This window comes from Homo sapiens, chromosome 12, assembly GCF_000001405.40.
Source record: "Homo sapiens chromosome 12, GRCh38.p14 Primary Assembly".
NCBI classification, from domain to species: domain Eukaryota; kingdom Metazoa; phylum Chordata; class Mammalia; order Primates; family Hominidae; genus Homo; species Homo sapiens.
In genome coordinates, this window is record NC_000012.12 from 98,925,025 (window position 1) to 98,946,997 (window position 21,973).

Consider the following 21,973-nt stretch of genomic DNA (forward strand, 5'->3'; position numbering starts at 1 on the left):
AAGTGACCTATAACACACAAAATATGGTTCTATTATGTGCAACTGATATTTTCTTTGTTGAGAATAATGAGCTACAGCAGAATGGCATAATGTAGAACTCCACAGCTGATAAGCTTTCTGCATAAGAACAGGAAGAGGACATTTCTTAAAGAGTTCTGTGTTCATTGCTTACCTTGAGGAGGCAGTGAATGGAATTACTGTTAATAGTAACAATATGAAGCTAATTGGTTTAAAATGAAGCAGCAGGAAATGCTGATGATGAGACTGGGGTATATGAAGGAAGAATGAAAAATCTATACTCCGGCTACACAAAAATGATGCTTAAAATGTAACTTAATCTTGATATTTTATTCATAAATGACAAATCTGCTCACTACACTGATTCCCTAGGTGACTCATCAAATCCCATCTCTAGGTTTATGAATCTCAAAATTTTGTAGCTAGTTCTGACTGTTTTCACTGGCAAAATTTGTCAAAATCAACTTCTTAAGAATTTGGAAATTAACCCAAAGTTTGCAATAATACAAAAAGCATTTACTTTTTTAAAAAATGGCTGAATCCCAGTAAAAACAGTGAGCTTTGTGGCATTTTAACTTGCACTTATAACCATCTGCCTCTCCACAGCTTCACAGTATCCTTGAAAATCAACAGCTTTGCAGCCATGATAGCTATGAAAACTAGCAGCCTAGCAGCCACTGGAGGGGACAGGTCAGGTATGAAGCTCCCCCAAAATTCCCATTCCCAGAGAATGGTCACTATTTAACCTGTCTGAAAGTTCCTTAAGAAAGCTCCATTCTTATAGTTTGTCTTTATTTGCCTTGACTTAAAGCTCATTTGGTGGGAATAGCCCTGACCCCAGCTAATTTTTTGAAATAATCAGCAAAAAAGCTTTCAGAATAGTGACACTAATTGAAACTAAAAAAAGAATGACCAAAAATTTCACAGGAAAGACTGGATAATGAGATGTGTTTAGGGGGGTTTGAAAAGCTCTGATAGATTTCTGGTAATCTAGAAGGCCATGCACATATACAGGGCTGTGCACGTTCCCAGAAAAGACCTGAGAAGCCCCTATTCTCTCATCTCTAGTTGACTTTGAGGTTCTGTGCAAGCTGGATGTGAAGGCTAAGGCAGAGTTGTAAACTGCCTGGTAGAGCATTGAAGACACACCTTAATACACACACATAGTCCTTTGGCAGTGGCTGGGAGACTTACTGGCTCAAGGCATTTAAGGAAATCTGTTCAATCATTAGGTAATTGGTAAGCTAACTGAGCACAGACTTCTGTGGATGCAGTGAGAGATAACACAGAATTTACAGAATTAGTCCAGGAAAGTCACTAAACAAACAGCAGCTGCAATAATAAAGGGCATCAACAACAGACCTTAGAGAGGAGGGAGGAATATGAATTCCAGAATTGCCACACTATATTCCTTAAAATGTATAGCATTCAACAAGAAGTTAGGAGACATGTAAATAAAAAGCAAAGTATGGCCCATACACAGGAAAAAAGGAAGTCAATAGAAACTGTCCATGGATGTTGGACTTCCTAGACGAAGACTTTAAACCATCTATCATAAATATGTTCAAGTTACTATAGGAGACATGTCTAAAGAATTAAGGGAAAGTATGAAAATAACGTTTTGGCAAATAGAGAATGTTAACAAAGGATATAAATGATTTAAACGTACAAAATCGGAATTGTGGAGCTGAGCAGTGTAATAGCTGTGATAAAAATATAGTGGGGCTCAACAGAAGAAAGAATAAGCAAACTTGAATAAAGGCCAATTGAGATGAATAAATAGAAGAACAGAGGAAAAAAGAATGAAGAAAAACAGTATCAAAGACCTGTGCAGTGCCATCAAATGTAACAACACATGCATAGTGAGAGTCCCAGACAGATAAGAGAAAAAAAGGGGATGAAGAATATTTGAAGAAATAACAGCTGGGAACTCTCCAAACTTGATGAAAACTATTAATCCACACATGCAAGAAGCCCAGTGAACTCCAAGTAGGGCAAACTCAAAGAGATCCTTACTTTACTACATTACAGCCAAACTTTCTACAGCTAAAGACAAAAAGAGAATCTTGAGAATGCCAAGAGAAAAGTGACTCATTGAGTTCAAGGGATCCTAAATAACATTAACAGCCAGCTTCTCAACAAAAACCATGAAATCCAGAAGAAAAAGGAATGACCTATTCAAAGTGCCAAGAATTTTACATCCAGCAAAACCACCAGTTAAAAACAAAGGAGAAATTAAGACATCCTCAGATAAACTGAGGGAATCTTATCACTAGCAGATCTTGCTCCACAGCAGATAGTAAGGGGAAACCTTCCGGGGGAAATGAAAGGATGCTGGACAGTAACTCAAATCCACATGAAAAAATAAAGAGTACCAGTACAAGTAACTGCATTTGTAAATATAAAAGACAATATAAACACATTTTTGCTTGTAACTCTTTCTAATTTAAAAGACGAATGCAAAGCAATGATGACAAGCTGTTTGATAGGCTTATAATTTATAAATATATACTTTTTTAATTGAAATTTTTTTCTTTTATCATCCAGCCCAAAATGTCATAAAGATATAATTTCTATGACAATAATAACACAAAGGAGGAGAAAGGGAATGAAGCTATATTGAAGCAGTTTTACATATAATTGACGGTAAATTGGTATTAATCCAAACTAGATTATTTTAAGTTAAGATGTTAATTGTAATCTCTAAGGCAACCACTAAGAAAATAAAGATATAGTAAGAGAAACAAGAAAATTAAAATAGTATACTAGAAAATTTATATGTTAAAAAGAAGAAAACCTCAAGTCAATAACTAAAACACACCTCAAGGCACTGGAAAAAGAAGAGCAAATTAAACCTAAAGCAAGAAGAAGAAAGGAAATAATAAAAATAAGAGTAGAAATAAATAATTTAGAGAACAGTAAAACAATAGAGGAAATCAACAAAACCAAAAGTGTATTCTTTGAAAAGATCAAGAAAGTTAAATTAACAAATCTTTACCTAGACTGACCAAGAAAAAAAAAAGACTCGAATTTCAAATTATTAAAATTAGGACTGTAAGAGGGGATATTGGCTGTGCAGAAATAAAACAAAAGATTATAAGGGAATGCCATGAACAACTGTATGCCAACAAATTAAATAATCTTGGTGAACTGAACAAATACCTAAAAAACCACAAACTGTTGAAACCAACTCAAGAAAAATTCAAAAATCTTAATATAACAAGGATAGAGATTGGATTCGTAATTAAAAAAAAAAAACTTCCCACAAAGAGAAGTCTAGGCCAAAATGGCCTTATTAATGAATTCTACCAAATACTTAAAGAATTAACACCAATTTCATAAGTTCTACCAAAAAATAGAAAGGGAAGGAATACTTCTGAACTGATTCTATGAGGCCAGTATACACTGACACCATAATGAGACAATGACATCACAAGAAAATAAAATTAAAGATCAATATATCTTATGCATATTGATGCAACAATTCTCTAGAAAATATCAGCAATCTGAATCCAGAAACATATTAAAAGAATTATAACCATGATCAAGTGGGATGCATCCTGGGAATGCAAGATGTATTTAACATACAAACATAAATCATAAATCAATGCAATACTTTAAATTAATATATAAAATGACAAAAATTACGTTATGAGCACAATAGATGCAGGAATCTCCTTTAACACAGCCCAATACTCTTTTATGATAAAAATCATTCAACAAACCAGGAAAAAAACACAGAACTTCCTCAATCTGATAAAGCCCAGCCATATATAGAACCCATACGGCTAAAATAATACTTAATGGCGAAAGACCAGATGTTTTTCCCTTTCCCAAGACAAAGCTAGCTACTCTGGTCACTTCTATTCAATATAGTATTGGGGGTGCTAGCCAGGCTAATTAGGCAAGAAAAAGAAATCAATGCATCTAGCTTGAAAAGGAAGAAGTGAAACTATCTCTATTTGCAGATTACGTGATCGTTATATAGAAAACCCTAATACACACACACACACACACACACACACACACAAGTTCAGCGAGGTTTCCTGATACAAGATCAATACACAAGCATTAGTTGTATTTCTGTGTATTGACAATGAACAATTTGGAAGTGAAATTAAGACAAAAATTCCTTATAGAATAGTATCAAAAAGAAAATGCCTAGTAATAGATTTAAAAAAGAAATGCAATACTTTCACACTGAAAACTAAAATATCATTGCAAGAAGTTAAAGAAAAACTAAATAAATGGAAAGAAAACTCATGTTCATGTATCAGAAGACTGAATACGTGAAGATGGTAATACTCCCCCAAATTGATCTACAGATTCAATCCAATACCTATTAGTATCTCAGCTGCCTTATTTGTAGAAATTAATGAGCTGATCCTAAAATTCACATGGAAATGCAAAGGACCCAAGATAGCCACAAAAATCTTGAGTAAGAAGAACAAAGATGAAGAACTCATACTTCCTGATTTCAAAACCTGATACAAAGCTACAGTTATCAAGACAGTATAAAGCATAAGAACAGTATTGGTATAAGGAGAGACATATAAATCAATGAAAATAATTTATATTTTCAGTAGTTCAGTAGCAGGCTTTTACAGGGTTAACTGATTTTCAGTAAGAGTGCCAAGGTAATCCAATGGAGGGGAAACAGGCTCTTCAACAAAAGTTCTGGACAACTGAATATCCACATTCAAAGGAATGAAGTTGTACCAGCTCACATGATTCACAAAAATTAACTCAAAATGAATCATAGGCCTAAATGAAAATGCTAACACTATAAAACTCAGAAGAAAACATAGAAGAAAATCTTCAGAATCTTGGATCAGGCATGACTTCTTAGCAATGACACTGAAAGCACAAGTGACACAAGAAAAAATATATAATGGACATCATCAAAATTAAAAACTTTTTGTGATTCAAATGATATTATGAAGAAAGTAAAAATACAATCCACAAAAATGGAGAAAATATTTGTAAATCAAATATCTGATAAGGGTTTTCTATTCCAGGTATATAATTAATTGTTATAGCTCAACAATAAAAGATAAGTGACCCAATTTTAAAATGGGCAAAAGATTTGAATAGACATTTCTCCAAAAAATATATGCAAATAACCAATAAACACATGAAAAGTTACACAGCCTCACTAGTCATCAGGGAAATGCAAATAAAAACCACAATGAAATACCACTTCATTCCTACTAAGATGGCTAAAATAAAAAAGACCATAACAAATGCTGACAAAGGTGTGGAGAAATTGTAACTCTCATATGTTACTGGTGGGATTATAAAATGGTGAAGCCACTTTGGAAAACAGTTCAGCAGTTCCTCAGAAAGTTAAATTTAGAGTTACCATATGATCCAGCAATTCCACTCCTAGGTATACACCCAAGAGAATTGAAAACATATGTGGATACAAAATTTGTACATAAATGTTTCTAGCAGCATTATTAAAAATAGCCCCAAAGTCTAAACAATTCAAATGTCCATGAAATGATGAATGGATACATAACTGTGGTGTATCTATATGATGGGATAAAAATTTGTCAATAAAATGAAGTACTTATACATACTATAATCTGGTGAACCTTGAAAACACTCTAATTGAAAAAAACTAATGAAAAAAAGACCACATATTGTACGATTCTGTTTATATGAAATGTCCAGTGTAGGGGCTGGGGAAAGTGGGGGCGGGGTAGTGACTGCTCATGGTTATGGGGTGTCTTTTGGGGATGGTGAGAATGTTCTAAAGTTAAGACAGTTGTGATGGTCACACAACTCTGTGAGTACACGAAAACCACTGAATTGTACATATTAAAGGAGCAAATTTAATGGTGTGTGAATTATATCTCAATAAAAAATAATGTGGTGTAAATCTGGCCACTCATGGTTTTCACCTCCCTTTTTTTTTTCTCCCCTATTGGGACAATTCATAAGTTACCATGCTGCTGGCAGCTCTGGCAGAAAATGATGGTGACAGAAAATGACATTTCAGGAATGGCTTTTAAGGCACGAGGAGCAATAGCCTGAGGATAATCAGAGTTGTTAGGCTACTCTCCTGTCCTGGAAAGTGAAATCAACCTGATTCTGTCCATCATGGACACTGGTGACTTGAGTTGTTGACGAATGTTCTGTAAAGTTTAATATCCCCTGCTACACTTTAAATACAGAGCCCAATCCACCATATCTTTCAAACTCAGGCTATTTCAAACATAACTGAAGTAGAACTTCAAATTAGAGAAACTTGAGGCCTTCTGATCACTGGCCAGAGGGGAAAAATTGTTTTTTATGACCTGAAAATGTATTTAGTATGAAAAGAAAATGACTTCTTAAGATGAGAATAAGAAAGGGGGGAAATAACCAAATTTGAAGTTCTAGGTAAATACAATAAGGCAACTGAATAGACACTCCTTTCTCCTGTTTTCTATTAGGATTATAATTGGGGATTCTATCTCCATCCAATAGTGTTTCTGTACACTTCAAAGGTAGGCTAACTATTTAAACCAGAGACAGAACACTCTGTATTACTCTTTTTATATTGATGTCCTGTTACAACCATGTTTTGTTTCGTTTTGTACTAGAGAAAAAAGAGGACTCAAACTTATGTTGTCAAATATTTCCTAGACACTTTTGTGTGTGACAGGAAGGAAACTTGTTAATACTGCTGTCTCAGGTAATACTGCTTTTTTAGTTAATACTGCCCTTCATCCCTGTGTTTACCCCCTCGAGCTTATCCTCCCTGTTATCTGATTGGTTTGTCAACATTCTGAACCAAAACTCTATTTTTTAATGGAAAGCCTAAGGAGGCACTTTTTCCTGAAAGAGATTGGTGTCCCTGATTATACTTACTCAGAGCCTTCTCTGGATTACTGGGAAGGAACACACCTGTGCATTTGATCTTAACAAGCTCTAAATCTATATTGTGTTGCTCAGGGGTTGCCTGACAGAGCTCAGTCCCATGGTGGAAGAAACCTACCAACCTCGGTCTTCTCAGCTTTCAAAGGCGACACCTGCCTCTGGCCTCTCTCTGCATTCTCCCCATTATGATGTGGTTCTCCAGACCAGGGAAGAGACCAGGGGGAAACACAAACTAACACAACAAGCTCCTTCTGGTTCTGTGTGTAGCTCTTTGCAATTTCCCTGCTCTGGTAGGCAGCACTTTCCAATCAGCCCTGCAGCTCCACCTCTGAGAATTCTTCATGAGGAACAAGCTTTCTTTAGTCATAGTCACTTGTATAAGAAGAGATGTTTTCCTTCATGAGTTGTTTGAAATGCAGTACAGTCATTCCTTGTGTTCTGAAAAGCTCCCACTAAATGACATCATTTAATTCCAGGATGCTCAGAATACTTAATAATACCTTTGGTTTTGTCTTTGCAAAACAAGTTTTGTGTTTGTGGAAGGGAACAAATCTGAGGAGTGGCAAGCGGCGAAGACCAAAAGCTTATCTGTGTGGAATTGCTGCTGTAGACAAGAACAATATAATCCTCCCTGTTCTGTACCTACTAAATCTTACAAAGGGTTAGAAAAATAGTATTTCATCTGTCTTTGGGTTTTTGATAATACCAAATAACATCAAATGGAAGCAGTCTCATGGTTTCTTCATTGCTAAACTAATTGTTATTACATACTTGTTCCTGTGTGATGTTAATATATATTCCTGGAACCAGAAAGGTCTACATGGTCAAATAAATTTGAAACTTGCATTAAATAAGAATAAATTGATTTTTTTCTCCTTCAGGGTTTCACAGAATCTTTAATACCAATGTGCTTTTTTGAACCTCTTAATGCAGCTCTGGTAGGCTGACTTTCTGTGTGTGTGTGATTATTTTATTTACTGCCAATCTCCTTAAAGTTAGTTTTTATTTAAAAATTATTTGTATAAACACCTGAACTATTTGACTTTTTAAAAATTCCATTCTATTGTGTTAATAGCACTTAACATGCGATCTACCTCTGTAAACCATTTTTAAGTGTACATTATTGTTGACTGTAAGGACAATGTGGCACAGTAGACCTCTAGAGCATATTTATCTTGGTTGACTGAAACTTTATGGCTGTTGATTAGTAACTCCCCATTTAGTAACTCCCCAATTAGTAACTCTCCCTAGCCCTGGAAACCACAATTGCACTCTTTGATTCTATGAGTTTGACAATTTCAGATGCCTTACACAAGTAGCATTATGTAGTATTTGAATTTCTGCGACTAACTTACTTCACTTAGCATAATGTCCTCAAGGTTCATCTGTGTTGTCACATATTGCAGAGTTTCCTTCTTTTTAAAGACTGAATAGTATTCCATTGTATGCAACTGTGTATGCATACACCACATTTTCTTTATCCATTTGTTGATGGATATTTAGGTTGTTTCTATGTCTTGGCTGTAGTGAATAGTGCTGCTGTGAATATAAGAGTGCTAATACCTCTTTAGATCCTGATTTCAATTTTGGTGGGGGATACATACCCAGAAGTAGATTGCTGGATCATGTGGTAGACATATGTTTGTTTTTTTTAAGAAACATCTATACTGCTTTTCATAGCAGCTATACCATTTTACGTTCCCACCAACAGTGTGGAGCGGTCTCAATTTCTCCACATTCTTGACATTTGGTGTCTTTTTAAAAAAATAATACTCATCCAGACAGGTGTGAGGTGAGCTCTCATAGTGCTTTTGACTTGCATTTCCCTGATGATTAGTGATGTTAAGTATTTTCTCATATACCTGTTGTCATTTGCATGTCCTCTTTGGAGAAATGTCTATTCAAGTCCTTAGCCCATTAAAAAAAATCATGTTACTAGGTTTTTTTTTCTTTTTTACTATTGAGTAGTAGGAATTCCTTGTATAGGTTGGAGAATAACCTCGTATCTGATATATGGTTTGCAAATATTTTGTCCCATTCAGTAAGTTGCCTTTTCACTCAGTTGACTGTTTCTTTTGTTGTGCATGAACTTTTTATTTTGATGTAGTCCTACTTATTTTTGTTTTTGTTCCCTGTGCCTTTTGTGTCATACCCATGAAATCATGGCCAAGACGACTGTCAAGTGGTTTTTCATGTATGTTTTCTTCTAGCAGGTTTACAGTTTCAGATCTTTAAATGTAAAATAATAATATTGAATTGATATTTTGTGTATGCCATAAGGTCCAGTTTCATTGCTTTGTATGTCACGTCCAGTCTTCTCAATATCATTAGTTGAAGAGACTATCCTTTCCCATTGTGTATTCTTGGCACCGTTTGTGATGACCAGTTGACCATGTATGCATGGATTTATTTCTGGGCTCTTTATTCTACTCCATTAGCCTATATGTCTGTTTTTATGCCAGTATCATACTATTTTGATTACTGTGGCTTTGTGATATATATTGAAATAGGACGTGTGAGGCCTCCAGCTTTTTTCTTCTTTCTCAAGATTGACTTGGCTAAGAATTTTAGCATTTTGTCTATTTATGTAAAAAAATGCCATTGGAACTTTGATAGGAATTGCATTTAATCTGTAGATTGCTTTGAGAAGTATGAACATTTCAATAATATTAGATCTTCCAATCCATGAACATTTGATATCTTTTCATTTGTTTGTTTCTTGTTTTATTTCTTTTTACTATATTTTGTAGTTTTCAGTCTGCTTTCAACTTCTTAGTTGAGTTTATTTCTAGATATTTTATTTTTTTGGTGCTATTGTAAATAGAATTTTTTTCCTAATTTCTTTTTTCAGATAGTTCATTGTTAGTGTATAGAAATGCAAGTAATTTTTATATATTGATTTGGTATATATCAATATATACCAACTTTACTGAATTCATTTTTTAGTTCTAACAGTTTTTTTTTTAAATGGAGTCTTTAGAATTTTCAAATATATAAGATCATGTCATCTGCAAACAATGTGGACAATTTCACTTCTTCCCTTTCAATTTGGGCACCTTTTTTCCTTGCCTGACTGCTCTGGCTAGGACTCCCAGTATTATGTTGAATAGAAGTGGCAAGAGTAGGCATTCTTGCCTTGACTCTAATCTTAGAGAAAAAGCTTTCAGTTTTTCATCATTGAGTATGAGGTTGGCTGTGGGCTAACCACATATCACCTTAATTATAATATGTTGAAGTAATTTCTTTCTGTTTCTAGTTTGTTGAGAGTTTTTATCATCAAAGGATGTTGAATTTTGTCAATTGATTTTTCAGCATCTATTGAGATGATCATATGATTTTTATCTTTTATTCTGTTAATGTGGTGCTAATTGGTTTTCATATGTTGAGCCATCCTTGAATTCTACAGATAAATCCCACTTGGTTATGGTGTATGATCCTTTTAATGTGCTTTTAGATTCAGCTTTCTAGTATTTTGTTGAAGATTTCTGCATCTATGCATATCAGGGATATTGGCTGCAGTTTTCTCTTCTTTTGTACTGTCTTTATCTGGCTTTGGTATCAGCATAATGCTGGTCTCATAAAATAAATTTGGAAGTATTCTTCCCTCTTCAAGTTTTTGGAAGAGTTTGAGAAAGATCGACATTAATTCTTCTTTAAATGTTTGGTAGAACTCACCAGTGAAGTAATTTGGTCCTGGGATTTTCTTTGTTAGGAGGTTTTTATGATAGACAGTCTTGCCTCTTGAATGAATATTTATATCTCAAGAAGCTAGTGTTCTGTGAAAGTTTGTGAATGAAGTTTTAGATTCATACCCTTTAACCTAATGTAATAATTAAGAGAGGAGACTTTGGACAAAAAGTACTGGATTCTATTTGTGGGTCTCTACCAATTAACTTCATTTACAGAATTAGCATAGTAATACTTGCTACAAATCGAGTTGTGAAAATTTAGTGAAATATATGTATACTAACAAACAAAACCCCAGGCACTTAGGTGGCCTTAAATAAATGGTAGCTATTATTGTGTATAAAAAAGTTAGTTTAGTCAACACCTTTTCCAGCAAGAAGCAAGAATTTCTTTCGTTTATAATAATAATTTAATAAAATTTCCTAAAATGCCTTCTGCATGATGCAAGAATGATGAAATTATATGCAATGTTCAGTTCGATTTTAGTGGTTAGCACAATTTATGGTATTTTATTGTTTAGGAAAGGGAGAGTAAAGAACATCTATTGAGAGTTTATTTAGTACTCATACCAGTCTTAGGGAGTAAAAATTATCTAACCCCACTTCACTGATGAGTATGCTTCAGTAAATTGCTAAAGTTCATGGAAAGCATATTCTGTGGCAATGTTAGAATTCAAACCCAGGTCCCCTGACTCCAAAGCCAATGCTGTCTCCATACTGCCATACCACCTTCTTTAAAAATGAACAATTTGGCTGGGCATGGTGGCTCATGCCTGTAATCCCAGCACTTTGGGAGGCTGAGGTGGGCGGATCATGAGGTCAAGAGGTTGAGACCATCCTGGCCAACATGTTGAAACCTCGTCTCTACTAAAAATACAAAAATTAGCCGGGCGTGGTGGCAGTTGCCTGTAATCCCAGCTACTCAGGAGGCTGAGGCAGGAGAATCACTTGAACCCAGGAGGTGGAGGTTGCAGTGAGCCGAGATCGCACCACTGCACTCCAGCCTGGTGACAGAGTGAGACTCTGTTAAAAAAAAAAAGAACAATTAATTCTTGTGTGTACATAATAGCTCTCTGTTAACTAAGGCTATTCTATTCTTCACTTGTTTCAAATAAATATCTCCCCTACTAGATCTCAATACAGTGGTCTTAAGTCAATTTAATCCCAGTAATGTTTTATAGTCATTTTCTCAGAATTTCTCTCATGTTCAGGTAAGGATTACATAATTGAACACAAAATTTTATCTTGTCTAAGTACTTCTGACTTCACAGGGAATTGTGATAAGGAGTATAACTCAGTGGAGATGATGTGGGATGGTAGGTGGAATGCTGGCCGTGGCCTTAGTAGTGATCTTAGTCCTTCCCCTGCTTTAAGTCCCTGTGTGACCCAGTGAGTTACTCTGTATCTTTAGGTCTTAGTTTTCTTACTATTTGCTCTATCTACCTCATGGGAGTTCTGTGAAGAGTAGATTAACTCACTTTTCCAACTCTCCCTATCTGTAGTTGTCTCAAAGTGGAGAATGCATACTCCAGGGATGAGCAGGATGGTTCATTCGGGTAGAGGAGGATGACATCAAGGAACACTTATAGGTGCTTTAAAATTTGTTCTTTTAAAATTTACGTTTTTAGCATATGTTTTATAATGTATGGACATAGCATTACATTTATGAAAACCATAAACACACAAACATATATTGGAGATATGTGCTTTTTTTTTAATTAATAGGGGTAGGTGATAAAAATGTCGAGGGCCTGGTGGCCTCCAGGATAAAGTCCAAATTCTTTAGTATGGCATTTATGTCCTCTGGGGACCCTCCAGCTTCATTTCCTCCCCCATTGCTTCTCCTTCTACTTAATGAACTGAACATACTAGTATGTTTTGTAGCTTCACTGTCTTTGCTTATACTACTCTTTTTGCCAGAGACTCCTGAAACCTCTCTCAGCCTCCCACCTTCCACTTGAAAGACTAATTTCTCAAGACTCAGCAAAGGAGTTATCTCCTGAATAAGCCCTTTCCTGAACCTCTCAGGTATGCCAGATCACTCCTTCCTTGGGCTTCCACTGTACTGTACACATGCCACCTATAAGCTGTGTGGAAGTGTGCTTGTTTGATTTCATTTACTAGTCTGTAGATCTCTGTATTACTCTACACTGCTATAAAGATACTATCTGAAACTGGGCAATTTATGAAGAAAAGAGGTTTAATTGACTCAAAGTTCCAAATGGCTGGGGAGGCCTCAGGAAATGTACAATCACAGTGGAAGGTGAAGCAGAAGCAAGGCACATCTTACATGGCAGCAGGAGAGAGAGAGAGAGAGAGTGCAGGGGAAACTGGCAATTTTAAACCATCAGATCTTGTGAGAACTCCCTCACGATCACTAGAGCAGCATGGGGGAAACTGCCCCCATGATCCAATCACCTCTTACCAGGTTCTTCCCTTGACATGTGGGGATTACAATTCGAGATGATATTTGGGTGGGGACACAGAGCCAAACCATATTAAGGGCAACTGCCATGGCTTCTTAAATCTTTTTTGTTTTAGAACCTAAAATGGTCCCTGGTATGTATTTCATAAATATTGATTAGCTATGCAAATAGCAAATAAGCTCTGAGAGTACTATAGCATGTTAAAATCTCCAGGCAAATGTTAATAGTTATTATTATTAACCTACGTTAAATTCTCATAGGTTTCAGTGGAATATCTTTATTAAAAATCTTAATCAAGTGACGTGAGCAAAACAATCCTAATTGACACCTGTAGACACTGGTTTTCAACCCCGGGAGCTTTCAAAAATATCAGTGCCCAGGCTCTGCTCATAGGGGTTTTGATTCAATTGGTATGGGATATGGGTCAGGCATCTGTGGTTTTTAAAAGCTCCCCAGATGATTTTCATGTGCAGGCAGGGCTGAGAACCATTGTTTCAAATGTCATGGATAGGAAAAGAAAGGTGCTTGGGAAAACCTAAGGCAGAGTGCTCTTCCTGAAAATGCAACTGCAGTTGTGAAAGCTTCTGTCTTTGTAAGGTTAAGATGTGTCCTTGGGGGAAGACACACACACACAAATTGCAGTTATTTATTGAGACCAGACTACTAAGTCACTTCGATGAAAACTTGAGAGCTTAAGACTCGCCAGCATGGGCTAAGAATAGATCACATTGCAGAAACCAGAACAGTTTCTTGGAAGGAATGGCTGAAGACATTGACAAAGGCTGAGCAGAGGATGAAATTGGGAAGTCACCCATCAACTATGGGGGTTGGGCAACGTGAAAATGTGCTTACCATTTGCAATGAAATGGAAAAGGCCTTGGTGAGAAGGCAGTGGAGATTAATGATAATAAGTCATGTTGAGTTTTAACAAGATAACATACAGGATAACAAAAAGGCAAAAGTTTATTAAGTCAGATCCTGATTTTGCAACTAACACCTTTTTTCCTCCCTCTCTTTTTCACCTTGAGACTGTTACAGATAGCTGAGTAAGGTGCCAAATTAGACTCGAACTGCATCTCAGGGTGAAAACTGTGAGTGAGCATCAGCTAATGTTATCCTAAAGTGTATGGAATTACAAGTTTCTATGAAGATGTTTTTGAGAAACCTTATTAGGATTAGTGCGTATGTTGTCAACATTGGATTTTCTAGAGAATCAGAGTGAATATAGCTGGTACATAAGCATTGTTAATTTGCATCATGGATATCAAAGCCTTCTTGATAGAAATTACCTATTTGCACTGCATACTAATTTGGGCATTGCTGCTCTGGAATTGATAAAAGTTTAGCCTATAAATTGGCTGAAGTTCCTTTTGTGCTAAGAAAGAATTTGCTAAGCAGATGCATAATGTGCCATTGGCCATTGCGGTTAATTTTTTTAAGAGAATAAATATTTCCAAGCACTTAAGTGCCATGTGTTACAAATCACACCACTCAGGGACTAGTTGAGGCTTCTTTTTTCCTTGAAGTCGGGCAGGCAGGACCTCTAGTGGCAATGGCTAGTTAGCAGTTAGATTTAGTGCTAATGTTTTAGAAAGTACAAACTGCACTTCTTTTAAATTCTGGTTGATAGACTTCAGGTTGATATTCCCCCCAATAATTTAAGCTTTGCACATTCTAATTCCCTGGTGTTCAAATTGTCACAAGTTCTTGCTGTGTACATATTTCTTGGAGGAACACTTTTAAAGAAAATGGCTTCAAAGATTCCCAGGCAAAGTGGACACCTGGACCTGTAAAAGGAACGCTGCCCCTAAGATGTGGAAAGAGGCCAACAAATGTTTTAATTGGTTCTTGACTTCAGTACTACTGACTTTTTCTCACATGGCACACTGATGCCCCTAAATACCCATTTGTCCTCTGAATTTGGTCTTTCAAACAAGGGTGAGAGATGATTTTGAGAGTGAGAAGAGAGCTGTTCTACTGGGGAAAAGGGCACAGGGAGGGAGTTTTGACAGGTATTTGTGGTGGCCACAGCCAGTGATAAAGCAAACACTGCAGCTGAGTTCAGGCCCCACTGTGAACGGGCCTGCAGTTACATCTCACTCCTCTCTTCTGTCAGTTGGGTCCCATGGGGTCCACTGGCAGGACCCACTCCAGGCAGGTGTCCCTGAGCCTCTCCTAACCACCTCTTTCTCCTCCATGTCTTTGCTCTCTATGTGGCGGGGGCAAGAGGGGAGCAAAGGGCAGTAGTGGCTTGTGTGCAGGCAGCCAGATGGGAGCCTGACCTTGGGTCACAGGCACACGAAAGGCACAGCCTACTGATGCACTATTTGGCCTGTGCTGTGAGGAGGGGGGTGCAGAGGGAGAGAGGAAGAGAGAAGAAAACTCCTTTCTTCTATCTCTAACCTAGGCATCTAGTGCATTTCAGTCCTGAATTCTTTCAGGGCTCAGCTGAAACTGTTACTTCAGAACCCTTCCCTGATCAAGGTCAGGCCTTCCACGGGCTTTTTGTAGCTTCCTGTGCTTGTCTCTACCAGCACTTATTATTATTACCATGAATTACTTGTGTAAATATTTATTATCTGTGTCAGTGGATGATAAGCTTCATGAGAGCAGAGATTGGTGTCTGTACTATTTATTTTTGTATTCTTATGCAGGAGGCCTGAGACAAAGTGCTAAATAAATATTTGTTGAATGAGTGAGTGAGGCAACAAATGAATCAATGAGATACACAAGAACATATGTATAAGAATGTTCTTTGGAAATAACCTAGAGTCTAGCAAGAGGGAAACAAATCATGGAGATCCATTTGTTTGAATATGTCATTGAAAGGCATATCTCAAAAAATATTTACTAACATTGAAAAATTCTCAGAATGTAAGGTTAAGAGAAAAAAGTAGGGACACAAAAATTGACATATGGTATGATTCCTTTTTCTTTTTTTGACATAAAGAAAATACAGAGAATTCTTACTATTCATGGTAGTTATATTCTATAAGGTCACTACAAACACTGAATTGCAAATACTGAATGATTGCACCTAGGGGAAATACAGAGTTAGGCTCCTGCAAGCCTCTGGTCACAATATTTTTGTCAACTGATCAATTTATAACCTTGTTTTATATGTGTTTCTGTTTAAAGACACCTTCTTTTAATATATATTATTGATTACTTAACATTGAAATCATGACCAACAGCACTGTCACTTATGCCTGAAAGAAGCTTATCTAATAACACACGTATTTTCTCAAGACACATCACAGTCTTGCTATGCTTTGGACACCAGACAGTGCTTCAGCTCCATGCTGCAGGCGATTTTAAACCACAAGACCACTAACAAAAAGCATATAAATATGAAAAATATAGCACTAAGTAGATCTTAGAAAAGATACTTGTTTACAGTATGAGAGCTGAAACAAGAAGGAGAGGCATCACCTTGTTTGACTTCGCCTGGGCATGTATGCATCAGCCAACTCAACCTTTTTGCTGCTCTGAGCATGTGCATGCCCACAAATAACTGAAATGCACTGTGAGTATTGATTTGCGGTTACAATTCAATTTTAGCAAGTAGGGGAATTTGCAAATACAAAATCTGTGACTAATGAAGATTGACTGTATGTCCTTAAAACAAAAAAAATCTCAGGGCAAATCTGCCCCTCGTGGTAGCGGGACTATGGTGACATAAACATTTAAAGATGTATCCTTTTCTTTAATTCCTCAAATTTCTAAAATTAACTTGTATTATTGTATAAGTAGGAAAATAAATATTATTTTTCTTTTATTAGGAAATGGCAAAATGTGATGGGCAGAATATATATAGAGAAAGGGTAGCAAAAATTTCTTTGGCCAGCTGTGGCACAGTAAGTTTAAACGTAAACAGCCAAAACTGTCAGTAGAGTAGTTTCAAAAACATATTGAGCCATAACTTTGAAATATATTTTGAGCCGGGCACAGTGGCTCACGCCTGTAATCCCAGAACTTTGGGAGGCTGAGGCGGGTAGATTGCAAGGTCAAGAGTTTGAGACTAGCCTGGCCAACATGGTGAAACCTCACCTCTATCAAAAATACAAAAATTAGCCGGGCATGGTGGTATGTGCCTGTAATCCCAGCTACTCGGAAGGCTGAGACAGGAGAATCACTTGAACCCAGGAGGCAGAGGTTGCAGTGAGCTGAGATCGCGCCACTGTACTCCAGCCTGGGTGACAGAGTGAGACCCTGTCTTGGTGGGAGGTGGGGGAGCGGGGGGAGGGGGAAGAAAAAAAGAAAGATATTTTGAATTCTCTCTTATATGACTTTTGTGAATGGCCAAAGTATCATTCTGTAGTCAGGAACAGGCTGACTTTTTGAGCCAGGGCTTCAAGCTGAACAGGAGAAAGAGACATAAGCATGAACAAGACCTATCTCTGCAAGCAGAGGTCAGCCACTTGACAAAGGCAGTGCAAAGGGGATGGCTTTCTCCGGAAATCCCTCGCTTCAGCTACTCATCCTCCACCTCCTGCCAAGTCTAGGTTAGGTTCCCCTCAGCAGAATGTCCTTCTCTGTTCTAGCACTCCCCACACTGTGTTGTCATTACCTGTATATGTCTGTGTTCCCAACTAGACTTTAAGCTCTATGAGGGCAAGGGCTGAATGTAGCTTGCTCACTATTGAATTACATTGCCTGACACATTGCTTTGCACGCAGTGAGGGTGAAGTAAATATTTGTTCAATATATAACGGAATGATTATGCATCAAACACCCCAACTGATAGCGACTCCTGTGAGAATCGTCCTCTTTAAATATAAGTCGGTGTCAGAAACAACGCCAAACCTCAAAAAAGAATATTGAAGAGTTCAAATGAGAAAATTCAAACACCCCAACAGACAGTGCCTCCTGTCAGAATCGTCCTCTTTAAATACGAAGCTCAGTGTCGGAAACAACACCAAATACAAGAATAGTGAGGAGTTCAAATGAGAAAATTTCAGTCTTAAAAAATAGACAAGATTTCATATACTCAGGCAAAAAGAGATAGAAATAAGAATCTGCCTACGTGTGAAAGGCAAATACAATTCCTGTTTCCTTTATCTTCTTACGATTGTACACCCTGTTCAACCATCTTTGGGCTTGTGATTACTGGGTAGTACACTGCTATTTCTTGAAGTGTCCATAAACACAGATAGCAGAGCTCAATTCCTGAAATGTGCTCCTGTTTGATAAGGTGGATTGGACTGGATCTTGTTCAGCCTTTAATCTACTTCCTTAAGCATCTGAGGATGTTCCAAACTCAAGGCTATTTCAGTACCTTTGTATTTGCAATGTATGATGCTTTAAAATGATAACTGTATTAACTTTCTATGGCCTTTATAACAAATTGCTGCAAACCTAATGGCTTAAAACATTGTAAATTTATTATCTTATAGTTCTATTTATCAGATATTTGCCCAGATCTTACTGGACAAAGATTAAGGTGTTGGCAGGGTACATTCTCTTCTGGAGGCTCTAGGAGAGAGTCCATTTCCTTGCATGTTTCATCTGTAGAAGGGGGGCTGCTTTCATTGTCTTGTGCCCACCTTCCTCCATCTTCAAGACCATCAGGCTGAGTTCTTCCCATGCTACCATCTCTCTGGTTCCCTCTTTTCATTCCCCCTTCCACTTTCAAAGACCTTTGTGTGATTAAGCCCAGCAAAATAATCCAGAATAAAAAATCTTATTTTAAGGCCAACCGTTTGGCAACCTTAATTCCATCTGCAACTTTAACCCACCTTTGCCGTCTACCCTAATATATTCACAAATTCTGGGGAGTGGGATGTAGACATCTTTGGGAGTTGATATAGTTTGGATGTTTGACTACTCCAAATCTCATGTTGAAATGTAATCTCCAGCGTTGCAGGTAGGACCTCCTGGGAGGTGTTGGGTTATTGGGGTGGATCCCTCGTGAATGGCTTAGCGCCATCCCCTTGGTGATGAATGAGTTCTCAGTCTATTAGTTCACACAAATGGGGGTTGTTTAAAAGAGCCTGGGCTGGGCACGGTGGCTCATGCCTGTAATTCCAGCACTCTGGGAGGCCGAGGCGGTTGGAACAACTGAGGTCAGGAATTTGAGACCAGCCTGGCCAACATGGTGAAACTCCATCTCTACTACAAATACAAAAACTAGCTGGGTGTGGGGGCACGTGCCTGTAATCCCAGCTACTGGGGAGGCTGAGGCAGGAGAATCGCTTGAACCCGGGAGGCAGAGGTTGCAGTGAGCTGAGATCACACCATTGCACTCCAGCCTGGGTGACAAGAGCGAAACTCCACCTCACAAAAAAAAAAAAAAAAAAAGCCTAGCATCTCTCTTGCCACATGACACGCTGGCTCCTTTTCACCTTCTGCCATGATTGAAAGCTTCCTGAGGCCCTCACCAGAAGCAGATGCTGGCGCCATGCTTCCTGTATAGCTTTAGAACCATAAGCCAAAATAAATCTCTTTTCTTAATAAGTTACTCAGCCTCAGGCATTCCTTTAGAGCAATGCAAATGGAAGAACACAGGGGCAATTGCTCTGCCTACCAAAATAAATGTACACACTATTATATATGCATACAAACTAGGAAATATAGTCATTTATATTTATCAGGATTCAAAATATCATGTCCCTATCCCAACTGTCTACTGTCTGTCCCCTCACTGCCCCTGAAAAAAAGAAAAATATCCTAAGATGCAAACACTCAAACCATGGAATGAAATACTCTTGGAGATAAAAAAGTCAAATACTTCTCTTGCTATGCGGATTTAAGAGAAACATCTCCACAGTATCAGTTGTGTGGGAGTTTATGTGTAGGAATCTAACTGCTCATGAGTTATCTCCATGAAGTCCCGCTCACAGTATGAATAGATGGGATCCTGTTATAATCTGCTTACTGTTTGCCTTGCAGTTGTGCATATAAATTATGTCTAAACCCTTTTCTTCTTAATCATTCTTCTTTCAGAAATTTTGTTTATCTTTCTAATTTGATTAGACAAGGCTCTCCTATCCCCCACTGCTTTTTTAACAGCACAGAGATAGCAGGAGGATTGATCAGTGACTGGAGATCCACAGGGGTGATAAGCTTTTCTGTATATTTATGTAGAAGGCAAAACACAGCAGAATGAGAAATATCAGATTCCAGATTTCATGTCCCATATGTCCCCATCCAACCCTGTATCATGCATTAAACAAATAAAAAGTAACAGAAGGGCCCAGCATGTTGGCTTCTGCCTATAATCCCAGTACTTTGGGAGATCGAGATGGGCAGATCACTTGAGCTCAGGAGTTCGAGACCAGCCTCGGCAACATGGTGAAACCCCATCTCTACAAAAATACAAAAATTAGGCGGGCGTAGTGGTGTGCACCTGTTGCCCCAGCTACTTGGGAGGCTGAGGTAGAAGGATTGCCTGAGCCCGGAAGGTGGAGTTTGCAGTGAGCTGAGATTGTGTCAATGCACACCAGCCTGGGCAGCAGAGCCAGACCCTGTCTCAACAAACAAACAAAAAAAAAAAAAAAAAAAAAAAAAAAAAGGGAGAGAGAGAGAGGAAATAAGTAACAGAACTAGCAGCATTTCATATTCCAGCTACCTTTTCCCCATTTACAAACTCCTGAGTCTGAAACATTTGTTATATTTGGTTTTGAGTGAAACCAGAATCAATAACAAATTTGTTTTGCATTCATTCCTCAATATATTTACTGCGTGAATATGGATCAGCAGGGATGGTGTGAGACTGCCACACTCAAGCTGGGCGTTTGTGCAATCCACATCAACACTTCCAATACTCTCAAGCAAGGCCAATAAATCATAAAGCTCATGTGCTACTGAATTCAGCACTTCACCATCGGCAAAATCAATGGAGATGCTTCCAGAATTTTCAGTTTTACAGCTTCTTGAACAAATCTTTTCCCCTAGTCCCTCTCTTTGTCTGTCTGGCTAAGGTTGAGGCATGGACACTGGGTTTGCCTCCTCTCCATCCACCTTCTCCATCCCCTTTTGAGAAATGACCACGTGGTTGAGGTCGATCTTGTAGTCAAGCCAATTGTGGTTTTTCCATCCCTATTCCCAGTGAGGCAACTTGTTGCATGTCATTCCCCTGGCAACCAAGACTGGTTCAGTTTGGGTTGATTCGATGCTAGCAGAAGTTTTTTGGGGCTTCTAGGTAAAGCGTCCTCATCCTTAAGTGAAAGTCTCAAAGAGTCATCTTTCCCCATCCCAAACTGATTCTAGAACTTCTGCAGGCATCTTATTATAGATCTGATGAAGTAACTGTCCTAGAAGAATCACAGGGAGGTGGAGCTCCTTCCCTATCCCTGCACTCACCTCTCCAGTTATGCAGGAATATATGCATTATTCTTTTGTTTGTTTAATCCTGTTTGAGTTGGAGTTTTTTGTTATATTTCCTCATTCATTCAACAAATAATTACAACTGTCTGCTGTGTACAGGCACTGCTTTAAGCAATGTGGATTAAAAGAACAAAAAGGGTTCCTGCCTTCCAGTAGGAAGAGTTTAAAAAGCAAATAATAAATCTAATAAATCAGGAAACTCAACAAGAACAAGATAAAGAACTAGAGAGTGACAGGAGCTATTGGGGGAAAGATGAGAGCAGCTGACTAATTTTAAATAGGGTGGTCAGGTTTCACCTCATTGAAAAATGTGATTTGGCTCACACTTGGAATCCCAGCACTTTGGGAGGCTGAGGCAGGAGGATTGCTTGAGCCTAGGAGTTCAAGACCAGCCTGGGAAACATAGCGATACCTTATCTCTACTGAAAAAAGCAAAAAAGAAAGTACAGGCATGGTGGCACACACCTGTAGTCCTAGCTACTCAGGAGGCTGAGGCAGGAGGACCACTTGAGCCCAGGAGTTCGAGACGGCAGTGAGCTATGATTGAGCCACTGCACTCCAGCCTGGGTGACAAAGCAAGATCTTTTCTCAAAAAAAAAAAAAAAAAAAAAAAAAAAAGTGTGTTTTGAGTAGACTTTTGAGTGAATG

The 21,973-nt window shown here is 37.8% G+C and overlaps 1 protein-coding gene across 50 annotated transcripts in view; it reads right to left on the minus strand.

Moving 5' to 3' along the window:
• The window catches only part of ANKS1B (ankyrin repeat and sterile alpha motif domain containing 1B), a 1,250,151-nt gene that overhangs the window by 190,239 nt on the left and 1,037,939 nt on the right, over positions 1-21,973 (minus strand). The gene's annotated exons all lie outside the window — the stretch shown is intronic.